The sequence below is a fragment of the Homo sapiens genome, chromosome 9, assembly GCF_000001405.40.
Source record: "Homo sapiens chromosome 9, GRCh38.p14 Primary Assembly".
NCBI classification, from domain to species: Eukaryota; Metazoa; Chordata; class Mammalia; order Primates; family Hominidae; genus Homo; species Homo sapiens.
In genome coordinates this window covers 94,593,009-94,609,126 of record NC_000009.12, presented here as the reverse complement: position 1 = coordinate 94,609,126, position 16,118 = coordinate 94,593,009, and the positions used below count along the sequence as shown (strand labels likewise).

General features: G+C 48.0%; 2 protein-coding genes across 4 annotated transcripts in view, besides 1 other annotated feature; both read left to right on the top strand.

The window, feature by feature from the left end:
- Positions 1 to 5,994, top strand: part of FBP1 (fructose-bisphosphatase 1) — a 37,131-nt gene extending 31,137 nt beyond the window's left edge. For all 3 annotated transcript variants that reach the window (XM_006717005.5, NM_001127628.2, NM_000507.4), the window contains 3 exons: positions 2,175 to 2,312; positions 3,551 to 3,670; positions 5,555 to 5,994. In XM_006717005.5, coding sequence (XP_006717068.1) covers positions 2,175 to 2,312; positions 3,551 to 3,670; positions 5,555 to 5,746 — 450 coding nt within the window. In that variant the 3' untranslated portion in view covers positions 5,747 to 5,994. The remainder of the gene's footprint in view (positions 1 to 2,174; positions 2,313 to 3,550; positions 3,671 to 5,554) is intronic.
- Positions 581 to 1,082: an enhancer, noted in NCBI's record as "NANOG hESC enhancer chr9:97370327-97370828 (GRCh37/hg19 assembly coordinates)". NCBI's record gives its function as "activates a minimal SCP1, AML or CMV promoter by ChIP-STARR-seq in primed H9 embryonic stem cells {active_cell/tissue: H9 hESC(primed)}" and the evidence as "EXISTENCE:reporter gene assay evidence [ECO:0000049][PMID:30033119]".
- Positions 15,303 to 16,118, top strand: part of FBP2 (fructose-bisphosphatase 2) — a 35,105-nt gene continuing 34,289 nt past the window's right edge. The window contains exon 1 of the mRNA NM_003837.4: positions 15,303 to 15,570. Within this exon, the coding sequence (NP_003828.2) occupies positions 15,401 to 15,570 (170 nt within the window). The 5' untranslated portion in view covers positions 15,303 to 15,400. The remainder of the gene's footprint in view (positions 15,571 to 16,118) is intronic.

The following is a 16,118-nucleotide window of genomic DNA, read 5'->3' as shown; positions in this document are numbered from 1 at the left end:
AGTTCTGCCTCCTGGGTTCGAGCGATTCTCCTGCCTCAGCTCCTGAGTAGCTGGGACTACAGGCGCCTGCCACCACACTTGTATTTTTAGTAGAGACGGGGTTTCGCCATGTTGGTCAGGCTGGTCGCGAACTCCTAACCTCAGGTGATCTGCCCGCCTCAGCCTCCCAAAGTGCTGGGATTACAGGCATGAGCCACCATGCCTGGCCAACTTTTTTAACTTTTAGAGATGTCCTCCTATGACATTAGTGAACTATGTGTAAAGTGCTTTTTGCTGGCAAACTGAACCCCAGGAACAGACAAGGAACAGGAACCTTCTGTGCGAGATAGGCTGCTGGAGGTGAGGCCGGGTCTGTGTGTGGCAGGAAGGCTAACTCAACACAGGCTGCCTTTGTCCCAGGCTGTCAGGGAAGTGGACTTTCACCTCCTTGGAAGCATGGGCACTTAACAAATAAACAAGGGTAGGGTAATAGCACTAGTTAAAGTCGCCAAATGTGGTGACCTGGGTAGGGGTGGGGTGGGGGAGTTAGTGGCAGAACCAGAGCAAAGTTCCACCTGAGCCCAGGATGGAATTTCGGGCACCACTGATGTTTGCTGACTGTGATTTGCCGGGCCCTGACTGCTTCCCATTCTTCTGGTGCCTTCTCTTGTTACCTTTGAGTTGGTGGAAGCAGAGAAAACATTCAATCCCTTCTTGTTTCCAGATTGCAGGGGAGCATCCCTGTAGGGAAGCTTCTGTGTGTTTGATAGTCTTTTGCCCTCCTCAGTCCTGAATGTTTGGAAGCGCAATGCAGGGCTGCTGGGATTTGATTCCAGCCCTTCTGTCTGCGGTGCCTGACGGGGCTGAGCCTCCCGCCAGGGAGGTGCTAAGTGCTTCCTCTTTGTTTGCGCTTGCTGCAAAGCCAGGCTGACGGTTTCTGCTGAAAACACTGCTACAGCTGTACTCGGGTTTCCAGCGGCTTCAACTTTCTGGGAGCTTTTATGTTTTGTCTCTGTACACAGACTTTCCTCCTTTGCACCATGGACAGTCTGGCTGGGCCCTGCGCTCTGCACCCAGCAACTGTTGTGAGATGGCTTTCTTTTCTATATAGTTTTTTGAAAGACATTTATTTATTTATTTTTCTACCAACGATAAAAGAATATTCCGGTATACTTGTGGTCAAAAATTTTGAAAATATTAAAAAAGGCATAAAAGTAAGAAAGAAGAATCACTTCCAGTGACACCTTTCAATGGCCACTGTGAATTCTCCCCTCCCTTTCTCCCTGTCTGTCTGGTTTCAACGTATTCCATATGGGTAGGAACCAATTTCTGCTGTGGAATAAATGGCTAGGTAGAGAGGTGTCGGTGGGCCTTTTTTCTTTTCAACTCTTGTGTCAACGTCAAGCCCCTCCTAAATGGGCAGAGCCTCGATCACCCTCTTGCCAAAAACACACAGGAACCCATAACAATCCTCAATCCGGAGCAATAGGACTTCTGCAACACTTTTCCCCCAAATTCAAATCTCCTTTGAAGAGCCTAAAGCTTAAAGGCATAAGCTTAACCCTGGGCTATGTGGGAAGAGGCAGTCTGAGAAAAACTTCACACGCCAGCGAGCAAAGGCCATCGGAAGTTACGTACGCCAGACTCAAAACTCAGGGTTCTACTTTGTTCTATAAGAACGCCCAGAAAGGAGAACTCCCATCAAGGTAGAAATGTAAAGCCGAGAACAGCGCTGAGCACTTGGGTGTAACTCAGGGACTGATCCTGCGGTGGCCCGTCTCTCCTGAGAGCCCACCTCCCGCCTGAACCAACCCTTTTTTCTGTTTGGTAAAGGCATACACATCTTATATTGCTTTGGACACACGGTTCTTACTCTCTTGCAGGCTTAGCAGTTGTTTCACAAGTCTGCTCTCCCTATTTTTGTGTGGTTTCTTTCTTGTTTGACTGAAATCATATGCAAACAAAGTCGAAAGTGTCTGTTATCACCCTGATGGCTTCTGCAGCATTGTCTTGCTTCCCCTCACCCCATTCACAGTTCCCAGAGAGCCTGGCAGGTGTCTCGGGGCCCCAAGATGAGTGGTGCCCGTGCGCCGCGACCCCAGCCCAGCGTAGCCCAGCCCATCGCTCGCCTCATCCAGGCCTGGGGGACCCAGTGCGCTCGTCATCTCTCCACCTTTCCTTCCTTGTCTAAAAAGGCCATCGGGGAGTTCATTTTGGTGGACAAGGATGTGAAGATAAAAAAGAAAGGTAAAATCTACAGCCTTAACGAGGGCTACGCCAGGGACTTTGACCCTGCCGTCACTGAGTACATCCAGAGGAAGAAGTTCCCCCCAGTAAGTGAGGGCCCGGGGAGGGTGGTGCAGGTTCTGGGCATCTGGCACCAGAGGCCGTTCTGGAGGCAGGGGCATCCCCCGGAGATGAAAGGGATCCTTGGGATCGAGGGCCTTGGGCCTCATGTGGGGCTCCTGAGCAGTGTGGAAATCTATTGGTTGATGACTTACCCTAAAGGTGAAAGGAAGCAGGGATGGAGTGGATTGGGCTTCCGTCTACACTGAGCCCACGATGAAGTTCTCACCTCAGTACTGGAGACTGGAATTCTCACCCTGAGACATCAAAAATCAGTCTCCATGTCAGCCTTTGCTACTTTCTCTTGGCAGAAGAAAATTAGGATAATAAAGTTAAACAAATGAATGAATTCATGGCAGTAAAACATCTTCCCTTCTGGGGTCCATGGTCCCAGATGGGATGAAATGTGGTTCCCCCACTCAAATGCCCGTCAAGTGGTGTCTGCCCCTTGCTAGGCCTGCCTGAGGTGCATCTATCAGTTATCTCGAGACCGAGAGTGCCCATCGTGACATCTCCCTAAAGAGGTTACAAGCTAGTGAATATGAAGAGAAGAAATGGCTGTGTGGAGCTTGCTCTATATGGAATATCTGATTTTGTCCTTTCTTTGTTTAAAAGCCATCGATGGCTGCTGTTTGCTAGAGATGAAGCTCAAATGTTTGCAGGACGTTCAAGGAGGCCTCAGATCTGCCCCAGGCTTTCTCTCCAGCTTACTCATCTCTCCTTTCACCTTATCCTGGATTCCCCTCCTGCCCCCAAGCTCCGCACACGCACACCCGAGTCCCACAGGCTCCTCCTCCAGGACCATATCCCTCTCCACATTGCTAAGCAGACACTTGTGCAGTTTCCTCTCCTGTAAATTACACACTGCCTCCCACCCCTGCCCGGTTCCTTAGCTTGGTAACAAACTTTCTCAGCCTTTAAGGTGTTACTAAATGGTACAGTTTCTGTAATGCCTGCCTCAGCCCCATAACCAGAATCAACCATACCCTCGTTGGGGCTTCTGTGGGCAATCTGACCTATTGTGAGATGATGAGAGGCTGTCTCCATTTTTCCATTTTCTATTTATTGGGAACAGGATTCTCATCACATTTTTTAGCACAGCCCCAAATACATACCTTGTAGGTGCTCGGTGAATGGATGTGGAATCAAAGAAACTTAGGAGACACCAAGAAAACTCTCTTTCTTATTTTCTGCAATCCTAATTCTTGCTGGTCTTAACTTGCAGGATAATTCAGCTCCTTATGGGGCCCGGTATGTGGGCTCCATGGTGGCTGATGTTCATCGCACTCTGGTCTACGGAGGGATATTTCTGTACCCCGCTAACAAGAAGAGCCCCAATGGAAAGGTAAGGGTGTCCCCTGGAGAGGGAGTGAGGAGCAGATTTCACTTGCAGCCCACGCGATTTAGTTTAGGAAGAAGAAAGGTTTTGCTAGCTATTACGCTCCATGCTAGGTTGCTACGTGTGTCTGTAGCATATTCTTTTGTGGATTAAAGGTAAAGCCAGACGATATCAACTAAAGATAAAAATAGTCTCTTGAGAGCCCTTCCAGTGCTATGGCAAAAGAGAATGAACGGTCAGGACGAGGACTGAAAGTCCTTAGGGCTTCCAGTGGATACAGGGCTTGGCTGGGGCAAAATGAATTCCATTCATAAAGTGAAATGAAACAACCCAGCCTCACTTCCAAGGCAGCGAATCAAATGTGTATCCTCAGTAGAAGTCTTCTTTGATTGCTTTCAAAAGGTGTAAAACAGAGGTAACTAGTGAGTCAACATCCACTACTTGGAAAACGATACCTTTTAGGGGAGGAAAGAATCTCTGGGGAAACCTAGAGCTTTCAGGTGAGCCGTCACCACCGACTCACTAGTCCAAGCCCATGGTGTTCCCAGCAGGCTGCAGGGTGGCTGTGCTCCCTCACGCTCGCTCAGAGCTGCCCTGCTTTCCTTCTGCCAGGGTGACAGTGTGCTTCCTTCCCAAGTATTGTGTCCTTCTTATGTTTTCCCAGTGGACAGATGGCTTTTTAGGCAGAGTCTTACTCGTCGCCCAGGCTGGAGTGCAGTGGCGCGATCTCAGCTCACTGCAGCCTCTGCCTCCTGGGTTCAAGTGATTCTCCTGCCTCAGCATTCTGAGTAGCTGGGATTACAGGTGCCCGCCACCACGCCCGACTAATTTTTATATTTTTAGTAGAGACGGGGTTTCACCTTGTTGACCAGGCTGGTCCTGAACTTCTGACCTCAAGTGATCCACCCGCCACAGCCTCCCAAAGTGCTGGGATTACAGGCATGAGCCACCACGCGTGGCTGCCTTTTTTTTTTTTAATGCAAGAGGAGAACAGGAACAACAGTTCCCTTAAACACAAAACCTATGTGTTTGGATGTATTTGGGTCTGTTTGCAGCATGTGGCATCCAGAATGAAGGCATTTCTATTTACTGAAACCATCATCCAGCTGTAGCTGCCTCGGGCATATCAACCTGTGTGGTTAGCCTGCTTTCCAGCACTTTTCTCTAAAGTCCCCCGAAATTGTTCCTGAACACAAATATTGAGGCTCCTTCTTTTTTTTTTTGGTTTTTCAAAACTAGCCATGACACCTATGTGGAAATAGACTCAGGAAACACCTGCAGAAAGCTGTCGCTCAGTAGGCAGACTGCATGAAAAGGCATACAATAAAAAAGTTAATATTTAAAGGTGAATGCCAAGACGTATAATACACTGAATTCCAACCCAAAAGCCTTCGGAGAATCGTAAAAGGAATGCACACAGAGTTGCAAACAATATCACACTGTTTGGAGGAGCCGGTCTGCTTTCCAGATGTCTGTAGCCAGACACCACCATGGATTTTTTTTATTGCTTTTAGAATAGGCGAAGCTCCATCCAACACACACAGAATCACTCATTAAGTCCAGTTTCCATGGTATAAAGAGAAGGCAATGATCGCTTCTGCCAAAATGTCATTCTGTCCAGTATGCAGGTGGTCTGTCTCACATTTGCATCAGGTAATCTATTGCTGGCACTGGCTTGATGAATGGTTGAATTTAACCAAATGGTTAACTGTTTTGTCTCAGATGCAACCTGGGGTGGGAGGAAACTTTTACAGCCTCACAGGAAGGAAAAATACAGTATTCGTTCCCTTGGAAACTCCCACCAGCTCTGCATGTTTTGCTGCAGAAAAGTCTCTTTTTTACGCAATACCTTCTGATACAAGGAGGCCGCTACCCGGTCTTGTTTTCCAGCTGAGACTGCTGTACGAATGCAACCCCATGGCCTACGTCATGGAGAAGGCTGGGGGAATGGCCACCACTGGGAAGGAGGCCGTGTTAGACGTCATTCCCACAGACATTCACCAGAGGGCGCCGGTGATCTTGGGATCCCCCGACGACGTGCTCGAGTTCCTGAAGGTGTATGAGAAGCACTCTGCCCAGTGAGCACCTGCCCTGCCTGCATCCGGAGAATTGCCTCTACCTGGACCTTTTGTCTCACACAGCAGTACCCTGACCTGCTGTGCACCTTACATTCCTAGAGAGCAGAAATAAAAAGCATGACTATTTCCACCATCAAATGCTGTAGAATGCTTGGCACTCCCTAACCAAATGCTGTCTCCATAATGCCACTGGTGTTAAGATATATTTTGAGTGGATGGAGGAGAAATAAACTTATTCCTCCTTAAAAAAAAGTCTCCCTTGCTTTGTGTCAAATAATAATGATGATGACAATAATAACTGCTGATGCATATAACATTAGATAACTCATTTAATCTTCACAATAACCCAATGAATCAGATACTCTGAATAATCCATTTTATAGATGACAAAATGGACGAGGAGAGGTGAAGTAATTGGCTCAAGGCTTCCAGCCAATGAGTGGCAGAGTGGGGACCTGAATGCAGGCAGCCTGGCCACTGTGAGCCAGCATACGGCTTCTCCTTCATGTCGTCCCGTTCAGGCCTGGCCCATCATTCCCCAGCCTTGTTCAGGATTGCAGCTGAGGAACCATGCAGCCTGAACATGGCGACTCACGCCCTCCTAGAAATGGGGGAGCTAATGGCTTAGTGGTGGTACCTGCATGTGACCCTCTGGCCTCCCAAACATGGATGTAACCATCTGAATCCCAAGTGAAAGTTTACTGTTTACCCAGTGGTGATTTTTCTTTTTCTTTCTTTCTTTCTTTCTTTTTTTTTTTTTTTTTTTTTGACGCGGAGTCTTACTCTGTCTCCCAGGCTGGAGTGCAGTGGCGCAATCTCGGCTCACTGCAACCTCTGCCTCCTGGGTTCAAGCGATTCTCCTGCCTCAGCCTCCCGAGTAGCTGGGATAACAGGCACCCATCACCACACCCAGCTAATTTTTGTATTTTTAGTAGAGACGGGGTTTCACCATATTGGCCAGGCTGGTCTCAAACTCCTGACCTCATGATCTGCCTGCCTCAGCCTCCCAAAGTGCTGGGATTACAGGTGTGAGCCACTGCGCCCAGCCACCCAGTGGTGATTTTTCTATAAAAGCACGGCACTTAACTCACAAAGGCTAATAGTTCCTACAGTCTAGTTACCATAAGAAAAAGGATTCACTACAAGAACAGGGTTTAAGGAAATGCAATTTGTTGCAAGCAAGCAGGCTTCTCACTAAACTCTCTATAGAAACAGTTTCTCCCTCCGCTAACCCTGGTCTTACTGGACCAGAGTCCAAGATCGTGGCAAGCTCTGTCAGGCACTAAGTAACACCTGTGGCCCTCCTTGAGCTCTAGATATAAAATGGATCTATCCATATGATTCCACTTGGGAACTGAAAACATGTGTGTATGTGAATCCTGCTTCTTCCCCTCCAAACACTCCCCATTCATTTCACATTTTCCCAGCAGGAAATTGATCTTGAGCATTGGATCTGCTTCTGCCCACTGACCAGACAGACCCAAAGCCAATATTTCTCCACTCCAGCTGGGGCTGCCCTCTGGGAAAGTCCCCTGACGCACAAAGCACCTCTTGAGTTTTAAACTTCTTGTAACTCAGCTGGCATCTGGTTCTCAAAGCATGAAGGGAGAGAAATATGGTCTGGGAGCCTTTTCCATATATATATCAGGGTGCAGTGGCTCACACCTGTAATCCCAGCACTTTGGGAGGCCAAGGCGGGCGGGCGGATCACAAGGTCAGGAGATCAAGACCATCCTGGCTAACACAGTGAAACCCCGTCTCTACTAAAAATACAAAAAATAGTTGGGCGTGGTGGCGGGCGCCTGTAGTCCCAGCTACTCAGGAGGCTGAGGCAGGAGAATGGCATGAACCCGGGAGGCAGAGCTTGCAGTGAGCCGAGATCACACCACTGCACTGCAGCCTGGGCGACAGAGCGAGACTCGTCTCAAAAAAAAAAAAAAAAAAAGAAAAAAGAATGAGGGTCTTTGCAGATCTAATTAAAGTAAGGATTAAGATGAGATGAGCCTAGATTACCTACATTAGGATGGGTCCTCCTCTGAAGCCATGCATTTTTGTACAGGTTCATGACATGGCAGGAGCCTGGAGGCCTAAGCCACCGCCATGTCGATGTCAGCCTGGGACCAGAAGGAGAGACAAACCTTTGCTGTGCTAAGCCGTGGGGATTTCAGGTTTATTTGTTGCTGCACGATAACATACGCTATCCTGACTAAACTAGACCAAGCTTGGCAATATTTTTAACCTCTCTGAGTCTCCCTTTCTTCATTTGCAAAATGTTAATTGTAATATCTATTGTAGTCAAGGCCATTTTCATCGTAGGTAACAGAAACCCATTTATTCTGCTAAAGCAGAAAGGCAATTTGTTGGAAAGCTTCAGGGGACTCTCATGAAACCTAGCACCCACTGCTTTCCTAACCCCGAGGACACACCCTTAGTCCGTCCTGGCATTGTCAGCCAATCCACTGTGTCTCCATGTCTCACACCAAGTTCCCCGGAGAAAAAAACCTGACGTCTTAGCTTGTGTCCAGTTAGCTGCAGCCATAGACCCGGGTCATATAAGACAAACGTGGCCTTGGGTTTTCTTTTTATGGGCAGGGCACGCCTCTCTCTTAGATGGGGATCGTGGGCTGAGCAGATACCCTAAAGGGTCTGCCGTGCTGGAAGCAGAAATGCTGAGGTTTCATGAAAGAGCGTTTGTTGAGATCACTGGAGACGGGGCATGGAAGGCATTCTAACAGAGTTTTGCTAACAGAGAATATGCTCTCAGCTAGTACTGTAGAGTCACAGTCCAGATCCTAGACTTCAGGTGGGGGCCCCGCCCTATGAACTGCCCTAAGACTGCCTTACTGTTCAGAGACTCTGTTTGTCCTTACTACTTCCGCCCAGGCCTGTGAGGGCCTTTCACCAAGCACAGCAAGCCCATAAATAGCTCTGTGATCACCAATGCATCAGTGGCGCTGAAAAAAGCGTGAGCTGGACGCTGCCCCCCCCTTCCTCTGGGCCTTCCAGATGCCCCGTGTGTCCACGCTGTTGTGTGCCCTGAAAGAACTTTGGCATTTGCTGAAAGGTCACCAGCTGCAATTTCAGATCATGTAGGTAACTCGAACTTCCAACATTTAAATGTAGCTGAAAGGGGCATGACAGCTGCACAGGTGCCAGCCTGGGCTGGAGGGTGGCAGAAATAGCAGGCCCTCCCTTGGATCCCTTTACGGGGGGAGCTGACTTATACATGGCACTGGCCAATCCCCCTCCCTCCTGATCCCCAAATTATCCAGGCTTCTGCTCATCCTTGACACCCACAGTGCCGGACAACCGGCGCCTCTCCAGAGATCTGCTCATAACACTGGCTTGTTTGTTTCACTTCCAATCTGTTGTGAACAGATATGTTAATAAAACATAATAAGCCGAGCGCAGTGGCTCACGCCTATAATCCCAGCACTTTGGGAGGCCAAGACAGGCTTATCACCTGAGGTCAGGAGTTTGAGACCAGCCTGCCCAATATCATGAAACCCCATCTCTACTAAAAATACAAAAGGTAGCCAGGCATGGTGGTGCGTGCCTGTAGTCCCAGCTACTCGTGAGCTGAGATGGGAGAATCACTTGAACCTGGAAGATGGAGGTTGCAGTGAGCCGAGATCGTGCCACGGCACTCCAGTCTGGGCAACACAGCGAGACTCTGTCTCAAAAAACAAAACAAACAAAAAGCATAATAAAAATAATTACAGGAGTGGCTAATAAGCACCTGCTCAACATCACTAATCATTAGGAAGATGCAACTACTCTAAGCCACAGTGAGATACCACCTCACACCCATTGGGATGGTTACTGTAAAAACAAACAAACAGAAAATAACAAGTGCTGGCAATAAGGTGGAGACCCTGGGACTCTTGCTCACTGCTGGGGAGTGTGAAATGGTGCAGCCGCTGTGGAAAATGGTGCAGCAGTTCCTCCAGAAATTAGACAGACAATTACCATATGATCCTGCAGGTCCACCTCTGGGCACATCCCCGAGAGAATCAAAAGCAGGGCCTTGAACAGATGTTTGCACGCTGTGCTCATGGCAGCATTACTCACACTAGCCCAGAGGTGGAGGCAACCCAAGCGGCCATAGAGGATGAATGGGTGAACAGACTGTGGCGTGTCCATACCAGGGAATGCTGTTGAGCCTCAGAGAGGAGGGAACTCTGACCCATGCCACAGCATGCGGGGATGGTGAGGACATTGTGCTGAGTGAAATAAGCCAGTCGCAGCAGGACAGATACTGTATGGTCTATGAGGGACCCAGTGTAGCCAAATTCATAGAGACAGCAGAATGGCGGGTGCCAGGGACTAGGTGTTGGGAGGGGGAATGGGGAGTTCTTGTTTAATGGGTACAGAATTTCAGTTTGCAAAATTTGAAATTGGGATTATGACTATAATTGGGGTCTAGAACTGTTCTATCATGCAAACCCCCATTGCCCTGTCCCCTCCCCACACCCCTACCCCTGGCAGCCATGAGAGTTATCTGTCCCCACAGGTTTGCATTCTGGAGAGTCCCCTACAAATGGAATGAGACTGTAGATACTCGCTGGAGACCACTGCTGTCACTCAGCACAATGCCTCTGAGACTCGCCTAAGTGCCACACGTGACACTAGTGTTTGTGTTGTTAATAGTATTCCATTGTGGCCGGGCGCAGTGGCTCATGCCTTTAATCCCAGCACTTTGGGAGGCCGAGGCGGGCGGATCACGAGGTCAGGAGATTGAGACCATCCTGGCTAATACGGTGAAACCCCGTCTCTACTAAAAATACAAAAACAAAATTAGCCGGGCGTGGTGGCAGGTGCCTGTTGTCCCAGCTACTCAGGAGGCTGAGGCAGGAGAATGGCGTGAACCCGGGAGGCCGAGGTCATGCCACTGCACCCCAGCCTGGGCAACAGAGCGAGACTCCGCCTCAAAAAAAATAGTATTCCGTTGTATGGCTCTCCCAGTGTGTTTACCCATTCACTGTTAAGGAGATTTTGGGTGTTTGCAGTTTCTAGTTTAACTAGAACTGCTATAAACATCTGTGTGTGGGTTTTTGTGTGAATACACATTTTCAGCATTGTTTTGCGCCATCACAGGGGAAACCTTCTTTTTTTTTGTTTTGAGACAGAGTCTTGCTCTGTCGCCCAGGCTGGAGTGCAGTGGCACAATCTCAGCTCACTGCGAGCTCTGCCTCCTGGGTTCACGCCATTCTCCTGCCTCAGCCTCCCGAGTAGCTGGGACTACAGGTGCCCGCCACCATGCCCGGCTAATTTTTTTCTGTGTTTTTAGTAGAGATGCGTGTTAGCCAGGATGGTCTTGATCTCCTGACCTCGTGATCTGCCTGCTTCGGCCTCCCAAAGTGCTGGGATTACAGGTGTGAGCCACCGTGCCCAGCCGGAGACCTTCTTAATCAGATAACATTAGCTTCAAAATGAAACCTGAAAACTAATCAACCAGGCCTCCGTCTTCACCCTGCAGTCATTTACTGGACCAGAACTTGGAAGATCCAGCCACTCTATTTCTGTAGTGATGTCAAAGGAATCATCATTGGTTTCCCCATGTGAAAGGCAAAGCTTATTTGTTAATGGCAACATGACGTGTTAGGATCAAGGAAAGGTCCATTCCGCAGTTTTCACAATTCCCAGAGCTCTTGGGAAAGGAAGAGTTTTCCAAGTTTGATCCTCATGATATCAAAATTAAAATGTTCTTACCCAAAAAATGATAACTCCTGTTATTAGCTTATTATTATTATTAAACTGATACTGAGTGTCAGATGGGGTGAACAGATTAATACAAAGTGGCATCTCTATTTAGATGAGTCTTTCATTAAACAGGAACACACAGAGTAAAACACACTGGAATGGCCCTTTCTCCAGCTTCCAATAGGGAAGTTGGATTGATTATTATGTTGGCAGTGGAGCACCTTCCAGAAGAAACATGAGCTAGAAATGATACCCAAGTCTTTACCTTACCCTTAGCAACTGACAGAAGTGAAGCCATTGCAGAAGGCTCTCTTGCTAATAACTTTTTTTCCCCAGCATATTTCTCAATGTGACAGTATTGTTCTGAATGATGAAGGCAACCACTTTTCATTTGGATTCAGAAACACTTGGAAGCAGTGATAATATGTCTTTTCTTTTCTTCTTCTTCTTTTTTTTTTTTTTGAGATGGAGTCTCACTCTGTTGTCCAGGCTGGAGTGCAATGGTGCGATCTCGGCTCGCTGCAACCTTCGCCTCCCAGGTTCAAGCAATTCTCCTGCCTCAGCCTCCTAAGGAGCTAGGACTACAGGTGCACACCACCATGCCCAGCTAGTTTTTTGTATTTTTAGTAGAGATGGAGTTTCTCCACGTTAGCCAGTATGGTCTCGATCTCCTGACCTCGTGATCCGCCTGCCTTGGCCTCCCAAAGTGCTGGGATTACAGGTGTGAGTCACTGCACCTGGCCGAAAATGTGTGTTTTTAAAACTAAGTGAAGATAATACAGTTAGGGATCATGAAGTCTAATCCCATTTTTTTTTTTTTTTTGAGACAGACTCTCAATGTCACCCAGGCTGCAGTGCAGTGGTGCCATCTTGGCTCACGGCAACCTCTGCCTCCCAGGTTCAAGTGATCCTCCCACCTCAGCCTCCTGAGTAGCTGGGACTACAGGTGCACGCCACTACACTGGCTAATTTTTGTATTTTTTTTATAGAGATGGGGTTTCACCATGTTGGCCAGGCTGGTCTTGAACTCCTGGGCTCAAGTGATCCCCCTGCCTTGGCCTCCCAAAGTGCTGGGATTACAGGTGTGAGCCACTGTGCTCAGCTGGATCTCATTTTTAAATTGAGGCATCTGAGTCCCGGAGGGCTTTGATTCCCGGCCCAGGCTTCTTTCCTTTGGGTATAGATTTAGCAATACTCTGGTCTGACCCAGGCAGATGTTCTTGTTTTATTATACATAGCGATCTCTCTTGTTAGAACTCAATTCTAAGCTCATGTCTTATTCTATGTTCTAATTGTGTTAACAGGCATATGTGCATTGTCGTGTATGGTGCTCAGTCATCTAGGGAGGAGGAGCATCCTAGAATGGGAGAAAGTATCATATAAGAGAAAGAACGCTAACCTCAGGTAGCTCTGGGCTGAGATTCTAGCTAGTAGCTGTGTTATCCCTAGGAAGCCCTAGTTTCCTCATCTGTAAAAATAGCACTACTGGATCAAATAATTGGGTGGATTAATGTGTGCCACATACTGAGATAGAGGTGTCATCTGTCTCCATCTATCCATTCACCTCAGTGTTGAAAGTTGAAATAGATTGAATGAAAATCACAAAAAGGGTATGGGATCCTGTATTTGTTCTATTAAGAGGTAGCATATTTCTTGGTAAGTGAAGATAGACCCCCCCACACCCCCGCGAAAAGAATTAGAACATTGTCACATAGCAGTTCCTCTTCTGGGGTTGTATCTTACTGAAGCACTTGCCCCAATATAAGGATGTTTGTTGCATTACTATTTGAGGAGCCAACTTACCTAAATTATCTGAATGTCCGCAAGCTGGAATGATCCAAGCCTCTGTGTGCTGACTTGGACATCTTCCCATAATATTTGCTTTCTGGAACTAAAAACATATATAAATAACATATATATATATTTGGGATCTTAAACCTGCATATTAAGATCTACTGGTAGATGTTAGTTTTATCTGAAAGTTTCCACATAAATTGTGAGCACCAATGCCCATCTCAACCATTTGGTTGCCCTCCTCAACCAGTTTGGTTGATCCAATGCCAGCGCCCAGCTCCCACTGCAGGCATCACCACACGACCCTGATCTGGCAGACGCTGTGCACAGGGACGTCTACGGGGGTGGGAGGATGGGTTCCAGGGAAACTGTTCTTTCTTAATAAAAAGGAACTGATGTGGTTGGAGCTGCCCTTGCTCCCCTCTTTGCATCTTCAACGTGGGCCAGATGTTCAGAACTGCAGTGACATTTTGTGCCCCCAGGATGCCAAGCAAGGGGCACAATCCAGCCGACCAAGGATGACAGAGACGAGACAGAGAGGGGTCCCAGTGGAACCAAGAACAGCTGAATGAACACCAGCCACCACCTCCTAGTGCACTCCTGGTCTATGAGGAAATAAACCCCCACGTGTAAATTGCTCTAGTTGTTCTATTTCTTGCAGCTGAACACATTCTAATCGACATAACTGTCAGGGGAAAAGACCTTCAGAGAAATGTGCATGTTGTACTGTTTTGTGAAATGAGATTATGTATGATTGCACAATAGTTGTGAGCACATTGAAAGACTGGAAGGGCGGCTGGGCGTGATGGCTCACGCCTGTAATCCCAGCACTTTGGGAGGCCGAGGCGGGCGGATCACGAGGTCAGGAAATCGAGACCATCCTGGCTAACACGGTGAAACCCCGTCTCTACTAAAAATACAAAAAATTAGCCAAGCGTCGTGGCAGGCGCCTGTAGTCCCAGCTACTCGGGAGGCTGAGGCAGGAGAATAGCGTGAACCTGGAAGGCGGAGCTTGCAGTGAGCCGAGATCACGCCACTGCACTCCAGCCTGGGCGACAGAGTGAGACTCCATCTCAAAAAAAAAAAAAAAAAAAAAAAAAAAAACTGGAAGGGCAATAATAGGTAACAAAGTACTGAGCACCTACTATACTAGGTACATCTCATTGCAGCCACTCTATAAGATGGATGCTTCACGGTTATGCTCATTTAAGAGTGAGACAACTGAGGTTCCAAGGGGTTTAATAACTTTCTCAAATCATGCAACCAACAGATAGCTAGCTTGGGACTCACAGCCAGGTCTGGCTGGCCCTAGAGAAAGTGCTTCCACCACCATATGCACCCCACCAGTGCCTACTGGCTGCACAGACCGCCACCAGCCCTAGCAGCAGTGATTTCTGGAGAGTGGGATGGGAGAATGGGCTGGTGGTGAGGAGGTTTGTCTTTATCCACTTCTTTAGTGTTTCCTTTTTAACAAGCAATTTTTGTTACAAAAGTGGACATCCAGAGATATTGACAAAATAACACTGGTGCCAGGAACTGTGCTAGGAATATAATAGTTTTCTTCCGGATCTGGATCTCTACTGTGGATATCCACTGGTCATACATGCCTACTGGAAATAAAAAGCATTCTTTCCTAACTTATTCCAAACCCTGGCTAAAGGAATTCTGGGGTTGCCATTATGTTACTATGTGACCTACGTCCCAGATAAGGAACCTGCGAATCTGCCACCTCCGCCCTCGGGAGAGCCAGGCCCTGCAGTCACTATATGTGAAGAATCCTTTGGAGCCTGGAATAAGAGGGTTTTATGCATCATTTTTTAATCAACTGGATTTCTCACCTCCCACCTGTGCCTAAATGGTGGCTTCTTGGTATCTTGAAAGGGGGTGCTCAGCAGGAGAAAGCAGCTCCATGTTTCTGGGCAGCCCGTCCTATTTACAGACTGCTGCGGCTCCCTGGCAGCTGCCACAGTCCCCGAGGCCAGAGGGAGTTCCTTGAGGGCCCCAGCAGTTGTTTGAGTCATGTGTTTTGGGCCCTTTTCCTTAGAGATCCTGGCAGGGCCAGCACAGATTTCTTATCGGCTTCCACACTGCGGAGCTGCAGCCCTCAGAAGTAAGCAAGGTTTCCTGCCGGGAGAAAAGGATTTGAAGCATTCCAGCCAAAATGACGGACAGAAGCCCCTTCGAAACCGACATGCTCACCCTGACCCGCTACGTTATGGAAAAGGGGCGTCAGGCCAAAGGGACTGGGGAGCTCACCCAGCTGCTGAACTCAATGCTGACGGCCATCAAAGCCATCTCCTCGGCTGTGCGCAAGGCCGGTCTGGCCCACCTGTGAGTCCTGGGGAGCAGGCATGGGGCACAGAGCACCCCAGGCCCAGGCAGGGGTGTGGGAGCTGCAGGTGCTTTGGCAAGAAACTGGGTCCAAAGCTTATTGGCCCTGTGTGCCCTAGATGGAAGCTGCATTTCAAGTTCCTATCATGTGTGCTTTGATAAAGGGGCCTTTGACTTGTTTTGAGAAAGGAACGAAAACATGCTATGAAGAAATACACATATAATTTTTCCAGTTATTATAATGATACCAAGTGCAGTGGCTTGTTGCATTAAAATATGTATTGTGTTATCATGACTTGTACTTGCACAGAGAGAGTCTCACTGGAACAAAGAAGTAGAGGGGTGACGTGAAATATCTCTTTATGCCTCTTGCAGACATGAGTGTTTTATTGTAATAAGCTTTGCAAATATGTTAGGAGCTGGAAATTATGTACGACATAGGAAGCTTGGTAGAGCCCCTTCCTGCATCTGCTCTCTCATCATCTAAAGGAGTGTTTTGCTGGCTACGTGTTTTATTTCTTCTCTGTGACTCTTTCTTTATCTTCACC